Below are 16,137 nucleotides of genomic sequence, written 5' to 3' on the forward strand. Positions count from 1 at the left end.
GCCTTCCATTTATTTCTCCCTTCATCCAACACACTGGCCTTAGGGTCCAGGTTAGGATTTGGGGGCTTGGGGGGCTTAGGTTACAATTTGAGGTGATTTGTCCCCCCCTGCCCATCAGTCAGAGTGATGCTGAGAGCACTGGATGATAAGACCAGAATTCTAGGTCCGCGCCCCGGACCTGCTGTGTGATCTCTGGCAACTGCCTTGCCCTCTCTGGGCCTTGGTTTCTCCTTTCATCTGCAGAGCCTGGGCCAGGCTGCCCTGGGAGGTGCCAGCCCCGAATGGGGCCGGGGGCAGTTCCTGTGTCCCCTTGGCCACCAGCCTCCATCTCCTGCCTCTTGAGCTGCAGGCCCGCCCGGCTCAGCTGTGACGACGAACCAGCCAATCTGTTTACTGAACTGGCTGACCCCTTCCGGGAACTCGGCCCAAGCTTCCCAGAACTCGGGTATTAATGACCCGGAGCCACATGACGGAGCATGACACAGCACTTTTGGGCACAAGGCAGGGCCCAGAGGGGTGCGTGGGGGCCGCAGCCCAGCCCCCAAGCCCCGCCAGCGGGTGAGTCACCTGGGCCCCCTGCAGCTTCCTGATCCCGGCCACTCAGCTGTCCTCCCCACCCCCAGGATATCCCCAGTTGTCAGGGCTGCCCTGGGACCCCTCGACCTTTGCACTAGGGACTTAGCAGCCGTCTTGGGTGATCAGGGCTGCCTTCTGGGATTACAGATGGGGACAGTGAGGCCTGCAGGACTGGAGTGAATGAACAGTGAGCTCTGAGTAAACGTCCACTGTGCGGGAGGCACTGTGCAAATACGTCACGTTAGTCTCGCAGCGATGCAACACAGTGGCGTAGTTTAATCCCCATATGATAGATGGGGAAACTGAGGCTCAGAGCGGGAATGAATTCTCCCAAGGGCATGCAACAAGAGCACTCTGTTTGACTGGAAATAATTTCCTTTCGTCTCCTCAGCAGCCGACAAGGGAGGTGCCATGTGGACTGTTTCACAGCTGGAGAAACTGAGGCACAGAGGGGCTGAGTCACCTGCCTAACGCACTGAGCAGTCTGGCTCCAGGACCTGTGCTCTGAACCAGCACCTGGCACATAGCTGGCACCGACATGGTCTCCGTGCACTGCCATGGATGAGAGCAATGCTGGCTGCGGTGTCGGGCGGAGCTGGGTTCCAATGCTGACTTCACCTTTCTCAGGCTGCACAGCCTGGAGCACGTGGCTGCACCCTACCGTGCGTCAGTTTCCTCACCTGTGAAGGGTGATCGTGGTGGTCCTGATCTTGCAGAACTGCAGTGAGGGCTGTGAGTGTGGGGTGTCTCAACTGCACCTGGACACGCAGAAGGCACTCTGTGAACACTGACTTTCATTGGCCCAGGCCTCTGAATCCATGACAGTTCAATCTCTGAACCCCACAGCTTCCTCCTTCACCCTTTGCCGCCCCAGGGCAAGGTGAGGGCGGTGGTTTTTATGGGCCTGGGAACCAGACAGGCTCGGGCTCAGAGGGGGCGCCTGCTGCTGGCGGGAGTGGGGCCTCCTGGTTCCCACTCCCTGATTTTGGGCTGGGGGCCGGTGGTGGGCAGGGGTGGGGCAGCACTTTGATGTTCTTCCCTTCATTCCACCACCACTGCTTGAGCACCTACTGTATGCCAGGCTCCAGGGGACCCAGCAGTGAACAAGGTCTCTGCCCTCACTATGGTGGAGGAGAGGATGGAGGAGATAAACATCGGTGAGCAAATGCTTGAAGAGGCGAGAGGATTTCACCAGAGAGAAGGGCCGTGATGGGAATCAGCAGGGGTGTTTGGGAGCTGAGTGGGTCAGAGAGGGCTTTTCTGAGGCGGTGATGTGGAGCAGATGCCTGAAGGAGAAGAAGGACCAGACCTGGGGAAGAGATTTCCAGCAGAGGGAAACTCACCACAGCACGTGCAAAGGCCCTGAGGGTGGGAATGGGTTTGGGAAGTTCCAGGAAAGGCAAGGAGGCTGAAGGGGTGTGAGGAGGGGACAGCAGCAGGACATGGTGCTGGAGGGCCAGCAGGGGTTGGACCATGCAGGGCTTGGTGGGCTGAGTGAGCAGCCGCGGCTGGGACTTGGGCAGGAGCCTATGTGAGAGATGGCAAGACTGCCTGAGATCGCATTCAGAACTTCTACCCATCTCACAGATGAGCTCAGTGAGGCCCGAGCCAGCTTCCCCTAGAAGGTCAGTGGCTGGACAGGCATGAGAATCGAGGGAGTTCAACTCCCCCGGAGAAGCCAGAAGCCAGAACACAGGCCGTGGAGGAGAGGGTCCCACATTCATCCCTGCAGCCCCGAGAGCTGTGGGCTGTGGGGCTGCCTGGATGGCTTCCTGGCGGAGGAGGTGACCTCCAAGCTGTGGCTGGGGCAGAAGGGCTGGGAGAGCGTTCCCAGTAGGGGAAGCAGCACACAGACAGGCCCAGAGGTGGCGGTGAGGTGCAGGCGTTGTCTGGGAAATTCATCACTGCTTGGGAGTCAGGAAAGTGACCGGGTGAGGAAGTGTTATTGTCAGGGTCTCCCTTTCAGAAGGCCTTGGGGCCAAGGGGAGGAGCTGGAATTGCCTTCCACCGCGTGCAGACCCCAGGCTGGATCCCAGGACTGCCCAGGGACAGGCACACGTCTGCCCTCATGTGGCCCACAGTCCAGGGGCAGGGACTGTCTGGAGAGATTAGGGCCATGGGGGGCAGGAGGGCGGAGGGGCAGACCTCCCATCCTAGTTCCAATCTCAGTGCTGTGACACACTCCCTGTGTGACTTGGGGCAAGTCACTTTACCTCTCTGAGCCTCTGTGTCCTCATCCATAAATACCACCTGGAAAGATATTCTCAGAACTCAGTGAGATCATTCGCTCATTCGTCCACTCATTTATTCCTTGGATTTTTTTTAGCGCTTCCTATATGCCAGGTCCTGGGCTGGGTGCTGGGGACACAGCAGTGACAAAAATCCCTGCCCTTGTAGGGCTGATGGAAGAGGTAGTGTAAAGCAGTGAGTGGTTAAGAACACAGACATTGGAGCCAGGGGCCTTGGGTTAACTCCTGGCCCACTGCTTATTTGCTGTGTGGTTTTGGGTGAGACACTTTACCTCTTTGCATCCTACCTGTAAGATGCCACGTCATAGGATTGCTGAAAGGACAAATGAGTTAATATATGTAATGTGTTTAGCACACAGCCTGGTACATAGTAGGTGCTCAATTGTGCTTGAATGAGCTGAGATGTGCAATAAGCAAACAGAAGAGGGGTGAGTGGATGAGACAGTGTCTGACAGTGGGAAGTAAAAGTGACCAGCTCTTAGCAACAAGTAGGCATACAGTAGGTGCTCAATAAGTGTTTCTCCTCCTTTGTCTCCTTCCGAGTCCATCTTGGACCTTAGCCCATAGGGGACTTAAGGGCCTGAGGTTTGGAATCTGCGTGGAAGGCGGGAAGTCGTCTTTGCTGATCCAGAAACCCAGAGCTGAGCTTTGGGGTTGGCAAGAGCAGAGACGCCCCCAGCACCCCTGCCCCTCACGCTCCCTGCACCCTGTCCCCAGCATCATGTGCAGCCTGGGTGGCTGCGGCGAGCTGGGGCCTGCCCAACGGGTCCCCAGTAATGACACTCATTACACAGGTGTCTGGCAGCGGGGGGAAGCGAAGGCCCCAGGGGCCGCATTCACATGGCACCCAGCCAGCCCACCCCAGGCCCTTCCTCGTCCTTTATAAGTCTGGTGCCCAGGGCAGGCGGGCAGGCTGGGGAGAGGAGCTGGCGAAGGGCCAGCTGGCGCCCAGTGAAAGGAGGGAAAGTTGAGAGGTCTGGGTGCCAAGCACTGGTGTGGAGGCCAGGGGAGGTGGGCACGGGGGGCGCGTGTGTGTGCACACGTGTGTGTCAGGGTGTTTTGGAGGGGGCGGGATGCAGTGAATCTGTGTCCAGGTCTATGCATCCCCCTGGCCTGTGTGTGGAGATGAGAGGGTCTGTGTAGATGAAGCATTGATGGTCCCCCAGGTGGGTGCAAAATCTCCCATGCCCGTTTCATTTGTTCTTTAACCTACACTGTGAGGTGGGTACCAGGCTGGGTCCAGCCTGGACCTGGTGATGTCAGAGCCAGTCCCAGGGCAGCCCTAGACTCTGCCGTCTAAGAGCTCCAAATCCAGGGACAGACAGACGCCAGGCAGAGGATCAGGACATCCCAGTGAAGACTTTGATGGAGAAAAACAAGGCAGGGGGCTGACAGGGATCAATAGGATGGGGTCAGAGGCCTCACTGGAAGGTGAGCTTGGCTGGAGGCCTGGAGGACGAGCCGCCATGGCAAGATCTGCAGGAAGAGAGTTCTGGGCAGGAGGAATGGCAAGTGCAAAGGCCTCGATGCAGGGCTCAGCTTGGCCTGTGTGAAGGGGCGAGTGAGGAGGGGACTGGGGGCCGGGGCAGGTCCAGAGCTCATGGCCAAAGTCAGGAGTGTGCATCTTCTGAGCGCAGTGGGAAGGTTGGCACATGGTAGGTACACAGATGGGGGCTCCACTGGGGTGAATGGGTTTGATGAGAGCCGGGACCGGGCCCTCTGGGTGTGGGAACGATTGGCTTTCAGAGCTACAGACAGGAACGTGGGCTGCTCAATTGTATTTGAACCTATTCTCCTGGGTTCAAACCCCTCCTGGATCCTGGAACCTGTTATTAAGCCGGCTGCACCCCAGGGCACCGGCCTTTATATCCAGACAGGGCCCTGGCCCCCAAGACGGGGGTGGACGGGTGATACTGGTGAACCCCATGCCTGCCCCACCCCCTGCCAGGCCCCTCGGCAGGGCCAAGTCTGCTTCTGAGAGCAATGAGCATCTCTCCTTTTACAGATGGGGAAACTGAAGCCCAGAGAAGGAATGGGTATGTCCTGGGTTCTTGTGGCAGAGTGCTGGGGGCAGCACCCAGAAAGCCTCCGTCACAGCTCATATCTCTTCCTACTTCATCCCCGCCCACAGCGGGCTCCTCCTAATAGGACTCTGGCAGGGTAGCAGCTGGTGTCCAGGCAGAGCTAGAGGGAAGAGCTGGGTCCAATTTGAGAAGCCTCTGTTAATTGGGTCCTATAGGAAGAACTGTTAACACTGTGAGTTTCCCATCACCAGAGGTGTGCAAATAGACCTGGATAACAGCCCTTCACCTGCTTAGAGATTACAGAGAGGTTCAGGCGGATGGGAGACCACTTGCCTTCTAGCTGTGTGATTCCACAGGACCTCGGAACAATCCTTAGCTCAAGCCTCAGTTTTCCCGACTGTAAAATTGTTTTTTGTAATAATCAGAGTGACCTCATTAAAAGGACAACTTTGTTGATAAAATTCTCCTGCATTTATCCAGGCCTCGCTTGGTTCCCCAGTGCTAAGAGACAGCTCTAGCCCTCACCATGGCCCGCACATCCTGTAGCCCTGGTCCCTGGGGCCTTCCCTCCCACCCCCTGATTCTCCCCTTCCTCTCTCTGCTGCAACCACAGACTTCCTCCCTGTTGTTCCTCTCCTACCTCAGGGCGTTTGCAGATGCTGTGAGCATTGGATGTCGGGCGGAGGGCTTTCCCTAATTTCAATCTCCCACCAGTCCTATCAGGTAAATAGGAGATCCATTTTACAGATGAGGAAACTGAGTCTCAGAGAGCTGAAGTTAAAGACACACAGCTTTTTGTGAATCCACTGAGTCAGGATTTGAGCTCAGGCCATCTGGAATCTAACACCACTCTCTTTTCTTCATTCCTTATGTGACTTGTTTTCATTTTCAAAACTTTGCTCAACAGTTGCCTTCTCCAGGAAGCCTTCCCTGACTACCCTCTCCATCCACCCTCCCATGACCTTCCTGAGTTTCACCTTTGCTGCACTGCTCACACTGTCTCTCAATTATCTCCCTTTTTTTCTTCTCAACAGCTTTACTGGGGTGTAACAAACACACGATAAACTGCGCATATTCCAGTGTTCATGTGGATGAGTTTGGACATATGCACACACTTCCGAAACCACCAGCACAATCAAGACAGCAGACATATCCATCGCCCCCAAGGGTGTCCTTGTGTCTTTTTGTCATTCATCCCTCCCGGCCGCCCCATCCACACTCCCATCGCCTGCCGACTGTGGCTGATCTGCTTTCTGCGGCTGTGGATTAGTTTGCGTTCTCTACAATTTTCTGTAAGTGGAATCATGTGGTGTATTCTTTACTGGGCTTCTTTTCCTCAACATTATGATTTTGAGAGTTACCCACGTTCCTGTGACCATTCTCTTTTTTTATGTATCTGCCCTGTCCCCCTCAGACTGTGAGTTCCATGGGGCGAGGACTTTGTCATATTTACCTCTGCGTCCCCAGCACTCAGCACAGGGCTGGGCACACAGGAAGTGCCTAATAAGTGTTGACTGACGGGAAGGAGGATGAGGACATGCCCAAATGGGGGAACAGCGGGCACATTTGCATGGCAGTGAGGAGCCCAAAGCCGGATTAAGAAAAAACAGCCCCTGGAATCATCTGGAGGCCTCGTGGCCCCATCAGATAAGCATATCTGCTCATCCCCATGGCTGTCTCTGAGGAGCAAAGATCTGGATTGCACAAGGGCTGGGCCTGGGCTGAGGAGGCGCTAGTGGTCCCTTTATCTTGCGTGGGCATTCGGCGCTGTGTTCTAGAACTGCACAGCCCACGCACCCCGGCAGGCAGAGGCCTGGGCTCCGGCAGCGGGTGGGCAGGTGGGAGGCAGGAAGAAGTGGCCACCCAGCCCTCCCCAAACCAGTTGGACTCCTTTGCAGAGATTACTGCAGGCGCTTTGGGAGCTGGCTAAGGGAGAGTGGGAGGCAGGAGGAAAAAGCAGGAGGAGGGGAGGAATCATTTAATGAGCAAATATTATAGGGAATTTCCAGTTCATGCCCCATCAGGCTGGGCAGGAACACAGTGGGATTACTCAGGCGGTTTCCAGGTACCAGCCTCAACCTCGAAGGTTCAGTGTGGCTCAGATGCCTCTAGGTCTTCATCGCTGGCTAGAAACCCAACTAGCCAGGGTGAGAAAGTGGCGGTGAGTTACATCCTGAGACAAAGCCTGCAACCAAAGTCGAGTCTAAGCATGCGCTTCCTGCATCAATCTTTGCTGAGATGACCTTATTGCCCATTTCCCAGACAGAAAAACTGAGGCTGGGAGTTGTGGCATTGGCTAAGGCCACACAGGGGTCACTGCGCAGTAGGGACAGCTTAAAAGCCAAGGCCATTTTGGAGTGACTCCTTCAACAAGGGCCACATTCTTTTGATAAATACTTATTGGGCACCTACTGTGTGCCACACACTATGCTCAGCTCTGCAGGTTAAAAAAAAAAATGGAGGCCGGTCACGGTGGCTGACGCCGGTAATCCCAGCACTTTGGGAGGCCGAGGAGGGCAGATCACGAGGTCAGGAGATCGAGACCATCCTGGCCAACATGGTGAAACCCCGTCTCTACTAAAATACAAAAAATTAACTGGGCATAGTGGCACGCACCTGTAGTTCCAGATACTTGGGAGGCTGAGGCAGGAGAATCTCTTGACCCCGGGAGGCGGAGGTTGCAGTGAGCCGAGATCGCACCACTGCACTCCAGCCTGCTGACAGAGCAAGACTCCGTCTGAAGAAAAAAAACGTGGAGTCTTTGGGCATATATTGTGCATTGCATCTTATCTACAGATGAACACAATTTTTGAGGTCAGAGATGTTTTGTGGAACTTTGTTTTCTTCTTTGTGGAAACAAGAAGTTTGGACCAGACTAGCATTTCCCAAATCTATTTTATCATTTATCCATTTTGAGGACACAGATCTGAGGGACACAGAGTCTCTGGGGGTACTAATAGGAGTGACAAGGGGGAAAGTGTTCCATTAGCCATTGGGTTTGGGAATTCCTGGGTGAACATTTGCCACAGGTGTTCTCAGTCTTGGATGCTCCAAAGAGCTCAATGAGCATCTAGGTGGTTAGGTCCTGTGAGTTACCCTCTGGGATATCTAAGGGAGTTTGTTCACTGTTTTTCTGACTTCATGAGTCCTGTTTGGATGCTGCTTCCTCCAAGGAGCCTTCTCTGAATCCCTAGAAGGACCTGAGTCCCCTTCTGTGAAGGCACCTGCCTGGAGCTCCCTTTGACTTCTGAATATTTTCCATCTTGGGTTGTAGCTGTCTGTTTCCATCACTTGATTGTGAGCTTCTCAAGGGCAGGGCCAGCCGTGATTCACTTCTTGGTTCTGGTATAGAGAACAGAATGGGTGGATGGAGCATTTAATGGGTGAAAAGATGAGTGATGACTTGATGGATGGGTGGATAGTCAAATGGATAATTTAATGGCTGGGTACATGTGTGGAGATAAGGGAACTGTTTATGAATGGATAAAATGGATGAAGAAATAGATCAATGAAAGAATAGATGAATCAATGAATGAGATAATTAACAATTGAATTAATGGATGAGTGAACACATGAATGAAGAAATTAGTGGATAAATGGAGAGATGGATGATGGATGGTTGAATAAATAAACAAGTGCTGGATTTTAAATTGTGTGATGGATGGAGCGGGTGATTTCATTGTTGAATACTGTGAATTACTGATGGATGAATGAATAGATAAATATATAATTAAATGAATGAATTAATACATAAAGTGATGGATGACTTAATAGATGGCTAGATGAATAAACAGATAAAGGGATAAATGGGTAGATGGATTGGTGATTCCATGAGTGAATGGGTGGGTGTATGGATGGGCAAATGGTTGGATGGATAGATGAAAGAGTGGGTGGATGGATGAGTGAGTGGACAGAAGAATGGGTAAATGGATAGATGAATGGATGGGTGGGTGGGTGGATAGGAGAATGGATAGGTAGATAAATGAATGGATTGGTGGGTAGGAGGGTGGATAATAGAATAGATGGATGGGTAGGATGGATGGATGGATGGATGGATAGGAGAATGGATAGGTAGAAAAATGAATGGATTGGTGGGTGGGAGGGTGGATAATAGAATAGATGGATGGGTAGGTGGATAGATGGATGGGTAGGTGGATAGATGGATGGATGAGTGGGTGGACGGATAGGCGAATGGATGGGTAGATAAATGAATAGATTGGTGGGTAGGAGGGTGGATAAGAGAATAGATGGATGGATAGGTGGATGGATGGATGGAAAGATGGATGGATGGTTAGATTGATTGGTGGATGAATAGATGAATGGGTGGATGAGTGGATGGGGAAATAGGATGGAGGAGTACATGGATGGTGGATGAGAGAATGAATGGATGGATAGGTAAGTTGGATGGATATACAGGTGAATGCATGCTATGTCATAAGATCGGAACTGAGGTCAGGAGGCAGGAAAATTCCTGTGTTCCTCCCTGATGCAGCAGTATCAAGTTTTTGAAGTTTGAAAGCTTAGTGAAAACTTTGAGTCAAATCTCCAGAAAATTGCATATAGACACAAAATGTTAGCAACTTTATGGGAGTGGTGGTCATGGAGCCTAAGAGCCACCTACAGACCCAAGGTGAGGAATCCCAGTGCAGTCTTATGTATTATTTTTACTCTCTGAGCCCTGATCTTGGAGAGGAACCCAGGCCCAGTGGAGGGAAGGCAGCTGAGATGGGGACAGGTAGTTTCCTAAAGGAGAAGACACTTATGTATTCATTCATTCATTGCACAACATTGCTGTGACCTTTCTGGATGCCTGGGAGAAGATAAAGGTGCCTCTCATAAGTGGCAAGTGTTTGGAGCTTGAAGTCAGACAGATTGCATTTTTAATCTCATCTCTGATATGTACTGGCTGGGTGACCTTGGGAAACTTACTTCACCTCTATAGACCTTCTCTTCTTCATGTATAAATAGGGACAGCAATAATGCCTACCCTATTGGGTTGTGAATATGTCAACAGGTATGTAAAACATGTAGCCCAGTGCTCAGTGCATAGTAAATGCTCAATAAATGTCAGTTCTTCTTTTTCTTCTTGCATGACTACTGTTGTCTTGCACTGGGCCTATGCAAGATGCTGCTGAGCCCGAGATATCCAAGGCATCATCCTGGCCTTTTGAAGTGTCCGCAGTCCATCAGGGAACACAGACAAGTAAGCAGAGGTTTCCATTCGCACAGGGTGTTGGGGCTGAGATAGGGAATCCTAAGACCTCATGTTCAGGGTCATCTGATCCTCAGCATCCATTCCTATTAATATCTCTTTCTAGCAAGAGGCTGCAGAGACTGGAAGGCTACACGCCGCATTCCCCAGCCTTCTTTGCAGCAGGGGCTCTGAACGCTCTGCAGGTCCCGCCAGGCAGATGCCTTCCTGTGAGAGTCAGGAAGTGGGGGCCGCCTTGTTTTTTCCTGGGCTCTCTTTCTGCTGGTGAGCATGGTCATGGGATGGATTTTCTTGCAGCAACCTTGGCGTCCGGTTACCACTCTTGGGGAGTCTAGAGGTAGGGGTGGTGGTGGTGGCTTCCTCATCTCCAGATGGCTGGATGGTGCTGTGATACGTTCTCAAAGTCTACAGCTCCTCTGTGGCCTCCTGATTCCCCACCATCCTGAGTGGCTGGCAGCTCTCCTGAAGGTCCAGTTCTGCTGTGTGGTGCTGGTGCCTCTCCAGCCCTTCTAGCAATGTTGTGAGTGTTCAATTCCCTGTGTTGGATCCTTTCTGCTTAAAATGCCTGGAAGGAATGCTGTCTCTAAAATCCAAAACAAACACAAAATTTGGAAGGGTTTCTGGTTGCCATAACTGTAGTTTGACTCACACATGGTGGGAGGCGGGGAGCACTGTAGGACCTCAGCAGGTACCTAAACCAGACTTAGGGGGTCAGAGAAGGTTTACGAAGCTCATGACATGTAAACTGAATCCTGAAGGGCATATATGGAGTAGTCAGACAAAGAGTTGAGTGGGAAGAACACACCAGGCAGAAGGAATAGCCCGTGCACGGCTGGGCACAGTGGCTCACACCTGTAATCCCAGCACTTTGGGAGGCCGAGGCGGGCAGATCACCTGAGGTCACGAGTTTGAGATCAGCCTGGCCAACATGGTGAAACCCCATCTCTACTAAAAATAAAAAAATTAGCTGGGCTGTGGTGGTGCATGCCTGTACTCCCAGCTATTCGAGAGGTTGAGGCAGGAGAATCTCTTGAACCCGGGAGGTGGAGGTTGCAGTTAGCCAAGATCGTGCCATTGCACTCCAGCCTGGGCAACAGAGTGAGACCCAATCTCAAAAAAAAAAAAAAAAAAAAAAGGAACAGCCTATGCAAAGGTTCAGAGATCAGAAAAGACATCGTGGAGAAGTGGGTAGTTCGGGCTGGCTGGAACATACAAATTGTAAGGGAGAGGTCAGAGGCTTTAAGGCTGGCCAAGGTGCTACACTTCCTTTGAAAATAATGGGGAGCTTCTGATAGTAAACAGCAGAAAATAGTAGGTGTCTTTCAGGCTCCTGCAGGAGGCTGAATTTGAGGGAGAGGAAGTATCGTTGCAGGGAAAGTAGCGAGGTGGCAAGGAATTGCAGCCACCTGAGTGAGAGGTGATGAGATTGACCTGGCATGGCAGCCTCAGAGGAGGGGAGGGTGGATGGATTTGAGGGAGGTTGAGGACGAGACTCCCAGGCTTTGGTGACCAATTGGGTTGGAGGCATGGCGGCGGGAGGCTTTATGGATGATGCTCATGTTTCTGGCTTTGGACGCTGAACAGTTGTGCAGCCTTCCAAAAGAAGGGAGACAGGCAGAGGGACAGTTTGGGGGAAGTTGCTGAACTTGCTTTGGGCATACTGATTTGGAGGATGCCTGGGGGCCATCCAGGAGGAGGCATCGGGGAAGTGTACAGACATGTGGTCAGAGGCTGAGACAACAGATTGGATATGGACAACCACCCACGACTTTGGAGAAAATGAGTGAAATATTCATTCAACAAATAGCACAGGGGAGCCTGAGACACACTATCTGTTCATGTCTGAATACCTGGCAGTGGGCCAAGGGCCTGGCTGCTTGTTCAATAAGCCAGGAGGAAGCGCTGGAGCAAGACTTGGAGGGTGGGCTGGGTTCTACCAGGAAGAGACAGGATGAGGGCCCAGTGGTCAAGTGCGTGAGGCCTGGGTTTAAGTCCAGCTCCTCTGTGTGTTGATTGCAGGGGCCTGGGCCAGATGTTTTCCCTCCCTGAGCCTGTTTCATCTGAAAATTGGTTATAAGGGACATGGTGAAGCTTCAAAGTTGTGCTTGTGGAAGCAGGTAGCTTGGAGCATGGAGCGGACTTTTGGGGGACAACTTGGGACACAGAGAGTCACCCACTTCCTGGTGTGGCAGAGCCACGGGGGATGGGGAGAGAGAAATTAGGATCCGCCTGAAAAACATCCACAGCTGTGTCCCATGTGAGAAAGGAGACCTCGGCTCCCGCCCAGGCTCCCTTTCACCCCCCAGCCTGCTGGAGCTGGCGGGCGGGGGAATCATCTCCATGGAGTGGAGGAGGGGACCAGATGACAGAAAACTTCTCCACGTCCCTTGGAGCTGCTGGAGCTGGGTCCTGGCCACCGTCCCAACCCATAGCTCCTGACTCGGGGTCAGGCTGAGATTTGCTCCTTCTCTGCCTGCTCCATTCAGCTGCAGCGAACAGAGGCTGCAAACTGGAGGCCTCAGGGGCCCAATCTGGCGCCCAAGCCTGTGGGGCTTTCCTCAGCCCACATAGAATTTTTAAATGAATGAAGCCAATATTTAAGAATCTGTGGGTACTACATAAAAACCTGTGTTTTGATTCCCTCTGGAAAATCAGGGCACGGAGCATCCGATCATATTGGGCCCTGTTCTCTAGGGACCACCATCAACCGGAGCTGAGAGGTGACTGTCTTCAGACAAGGCATGTGCCCCAGTCCCCACCACTCCCTCTTGTCTCTCTGATGCTGAGGCCAAGGAATAGTAGCTATTTATCATCTTACCCCAGCCCACTCTGCTCATTTTAAATTCCTGCCTGGTCCCTGGTGACACAGTTTTCAACCCCAGAGCCAGTCTCTTTTTCCTCTAAAACCACCCAGACTTTGGCCCTGGTTCTAGGCCTGAATTGGCTTCCCAAGAACCCCAGTCTCTGAGCTCCTCAGGGTCATGGTTTACCTTTCCTTCTGCCCCACAAGGCCCAGCACCACCCCCGGGGGACGATGACGGGCTGAGACTTGGCTGGTGTTGGGGGGCCGGCTGGGCCTGTGGGAGGCAGACCCACATGTGCTCTGAGATGTGTCAGCTGGGCCTGGTCACACTCTCTGCGGCTCATCCCTGAGGCATGTGGAACCAGGCGCTGTGCTCGTGGCCCAGCCAGGGTGGTAGGCGGGGCCAGGCCCGGGACATGGTGTATGTCAAGGCCACGCACAACAGGCCTGATGTTCCAGCCGCAAACACATTGGTTGGAAAGAGGAAAGGAGGAGGGAGAGGCAGAGCCGCTTTAAAGACAGTACCCAAAATACAGAGGCAGAAAGAGCCGAACTCACACTGTAAGTTGCTGTGTGACCTTGGGCACGTCACCTCACCTCTCTGAGCCTCTAGCTTAAGATAGAACTAAGGACAGACCCCAGCTTGCAGCCTCGTGGGCATATGCAGTGGTACAGTGGCTGATGTGGGGCCTAATGCCTAGAAGGGCAGCCTGGAATGGAGGCAAAAATCACAGACTTTGGGGCCAGATGAGGTTGCCACTTGTGAGCTGGGTGACCCTGGGCAGGTCGCTTCTCCATCTGCATCCCCAGGGAAGGTCCTCACCAAGTTATTCTGCCAAAAAAAGAATCCATTCACCGAACAAATATTTATTGGGCAATTCCTGTGGGTCAGGCGCTGGGGACATGGCAGGACATAGGACGGTCAAAGGTCTCTGCCCCCGTGGAGTTCACACTTGTGGAGAGAGCAGGCAATACACAAGATAAATAAGTTGCATATTGCATTTGAGAAGATCCATGCTAGGGAGAGAAATGAAGCAGGAAAAGGAGATGGGATTTCAATGGGCGGGGCAGGAACAGCCTGGTGAGCAGGTGACAGCTGACAACGATCTGTAGGAGGTGAGGGAGGGAGCCGCGGGGAGGGGAGAGTGTTCCAGGCAGTGGGAACGGTGCACAGGCCCTGAGTGGGGGCTGTGGCTGTTGTGTTTGGGGTGTAGCAAAGAGGCCAGTGTGTGGAACAGGGTGAGCGAGGGAGAGAGACTAGGAGGACGTGAGGGCCAAGAGGCCGTGGGGGGCGGATCCTGCAGGGCCACGTGGGCTGTTAAAGGACTTTGGCTTTTTCTCTGCAGGACATGGGAGTCATGGAGGGTTCTGAGCATAGAAGGGACGTGGTCTGACTTCAGTTTTCATGGATCCCTCTGGCTGCAGTGGAGAATGGGCTGGAGGGGCCAGGGCCAGGACAGAGGCAGGGGGGATAGTGGGGAGGTGATGGCAATAGTCCACCCTCTGTTTAGTGATCCTGGTCCTTCCCCGCTCTAAAGCCTTCCTGACTTCCCATCGCCTCTGGACAAAGCTCAAACTCCTTAGCGTGACATTCAAGGCCCGCTTACCTGACTCTAGCTGCTCCCTGCCCCGGCTCCTCACTCTCCACAGCATCCCAACCAGATATCCTTCCTTCCCTGCTCCACATGCGGTCCACCTTTGCCCGTGCTGTTTCCTCTGCCAGGAATGCCCTTCCTGTCCCCCTTTGTGACCCAGTTCATGTAAGGCTGAGTCCCACAAGCTAGGAGATAGAAAAGGAAGGAATAGAGGAAAGGCTGTTCCTGGGGAGGGTCAGGGAGGGCCAGGTTTCGGCTCCCCTCTTCTTCCTGGAATTCATCCTCCATGGCCTCCGCAGCTGAGGGCAGGCTCAGGAGCTGGGAGTGGGGCTGTAGCCCACACGACCATGCTGTGTGACCTTGGGCAAGTCACCCACCCTCTCTGGGCCTTGGCTTTTCTGCTCTGTAAAATGGGGAGGATCCTGGAGCTCCTCATGGTGGTTCTGTGCACCCAAGGGCTGTGGCAACTGTGGGAATAATGGCATCCTGGGGAAGACATAACTGCACTTCCTTGCCCAGCCACGACAGGCCAGCTCAGGGTGGCCCTGAGCTGATGCTAGGGGTAGCTTGCAGGAGGGGTGCCCTCTGAAGCCCTGAGCATCTCCAGTTCAGTCACCCCTGAGTGACCTGAGCACCTACAGTGTGTCCAGCCCCAGCACTGTGCTTGAGCACGGACAGAGGCCAGACAGCCTGGTTTCAAATCCCAGCTCTGTCACTTCCTAGCTGTGTGATCTGGGCAAGTAATGTAACCCAGCTGGGCCTTGGTTTCTCACCTGTGACATGGGGACAGTAAGAGTGCTCTCCTCCTGGGAAGCTCAAAGAAGCCAGTGTGCTCCTATAAATACCATGCTCAGTGCGTGGAGGAAGCAGCTTATCAAGGCCAACTAGCATTTTTTTTATTATTATTATTATTATTATTATTATCACCACTGTCATTTCCTGGCTTTGTGGCCTCAGGCATCACTTGCTTCACTGTGCCTCAGTTTTCTCCTCTGTGAGATGGGGTAATAGTCCCACCTTCGAAGAGTTGCCATGAGGACTGAGCCTGACGCATGTAAATGAGCCTGGAGCAGAGTAGGTACTCTGTGATTTTTGTTTGTTTGTTTGTTTGAGATAGGGTCTCGCTCTGTTGCCCAGGCTGGAGTGTGGTGGCAAGATCTTGGCTCACTGCAACCTCTGCCTCCCAGGTTCAAGCGATTCTCCCACCTCAGCCTCCCAGGTAGCTGGGACTACAGGCGTGCGCCACCATGGGCGGCTAATTTTTGTATTTGTAGTGGAGACGGGGTTTCACCATGTTGGCCAGGCTGGTCTTAAAACTCCTGACCTCAAGTGATCTGCCCGCCTCGGCCTCCCAAAGTGCTGGGATTACAGGCGTGAGCCACCGCGCCTGGCCTCAGTCTGTAATTTCTTAAGAAAAACATTTCAAATGCAGAATTTATTTTATTCACTACCATAAGTCATCACTGATATATGAATAGTCCCTATGAAATCCTTTGTTATTCCTCTAGTCAGACAAATGCTCGTTTGGTTTAATCTGACTTAACAAATTAACGAGATGAGGAAGAAAATTCCAGGCCTTGGGACATTCACTGAAGCCCAACCAGGCACCAAGAGACACATGTCCTTCTAGTCCTTCTAATGAAGAGTGGAGGAAGATCAACACGATCCTTATTTACAC

At 52.9% G+C, this 16,137-nt stretch overlaps 1 long non-coding RNA gene across 1 annotated transcript in view, besides 4 other annotated features; it reads left to right on the forward strand.

Moving 5' to 3' along the window:
• Nucleotides 1–737: an enhancer, noted in NCBI's record as "H3K27ac-H3K4me1 hESC enhancer chr20:48908810-48909546 (GRCh37/hg19 assembly coordinates)". NCBI's record gives its function as "activates a minimal SCP1, AML or CMV promoter by ChIP-STARR-seq in naive and primed H9 embryonic stem cells {active_cell/tissue: H9 hESC(naive and primed)}" and the evidence as "EXISTENCE:reporter gene assay evidence [ECO:0000049][PMID:30033119]".
• LINC01270 (long intergenic non-protein coding RNA 1270) overlaps nucleotides 448–16,137 on the forward strand; it is a 22,200-nt gene continuing 6,510 nt past the window's right edge. The window contains exons 1-2 of the long non-coding RNA NR_034124.1: nucleotides 448–558; nucleotides 5,884–6,141. This is a non-coding gene — a long non-coding RNA (long intergenic non-protein coding RNA 1270). The remainder of the gene's footprint in view (nucleotides 559–5,883; nucleotides 6,142–16,137) is intronic.
• Nucleotides 1,851–2,351: an enhancer, noted in NCBI's record as "H3K4me1 hESC enhancer chr20:48910660-48911160 (GRCh37/hg19 assembly coordinates)". NCBI's record gives its function as "activates a minimal SCP1, AML or CMV promoter by ChIP-STARR-seq in primed H9 embryonic stem cells {active_cell/tissue: H9 hESC(primed)}" and the evidence as "EXISTENCE:reporter gene assay evidence [ECO:0000049][PMID:30033119]".
• Nucleotides 12,708–13,483: an enhancer, noted in NCBI's record as "H3K4me1 hESC enhancer chr20:48921517-48922292 (GRCh37/hg19 assembly coordinates)". NCBI's record gives its function as "activates a minimal SCP1, AML or CMV promoter by ChIP-STARR-seq in naive H9 embryonic stem cells {active_cell/tissue: H9 hESC(naive)}" and the evidence as "EXISTENCE:reporter gene assay evidence [ECO:0000049][PMID:30033119]".
• Nucleotides 13,780–14,074: a silencer, noted in NCBI's record as "tiled region #5066; HepG2 Repressive DNase unmatched - State 1:Tss". NCBI's record gives its function as "represses a minimal TATA promoter and a strong SV40 promoter by Sharpr-MPRA in HepG2 cells {active_cell/tissue: HepG2}" and the evidence as "EXISTENCE:reporter gene assay evidence [ECO:0000049][PMID:27701403]".

This window comes from Homo sapiens, chromosome 20 (assembly GCF_000001405.40).
Source record: "Homo sapiens chromosome 20, GRCh38.p14 Primary Assembly".
Taxonomy (NCBI): Eukaryota; Metazoa; Chordata; class Mammalia; order Primates; family Hominidae; genus Homo; species Homo sapiens.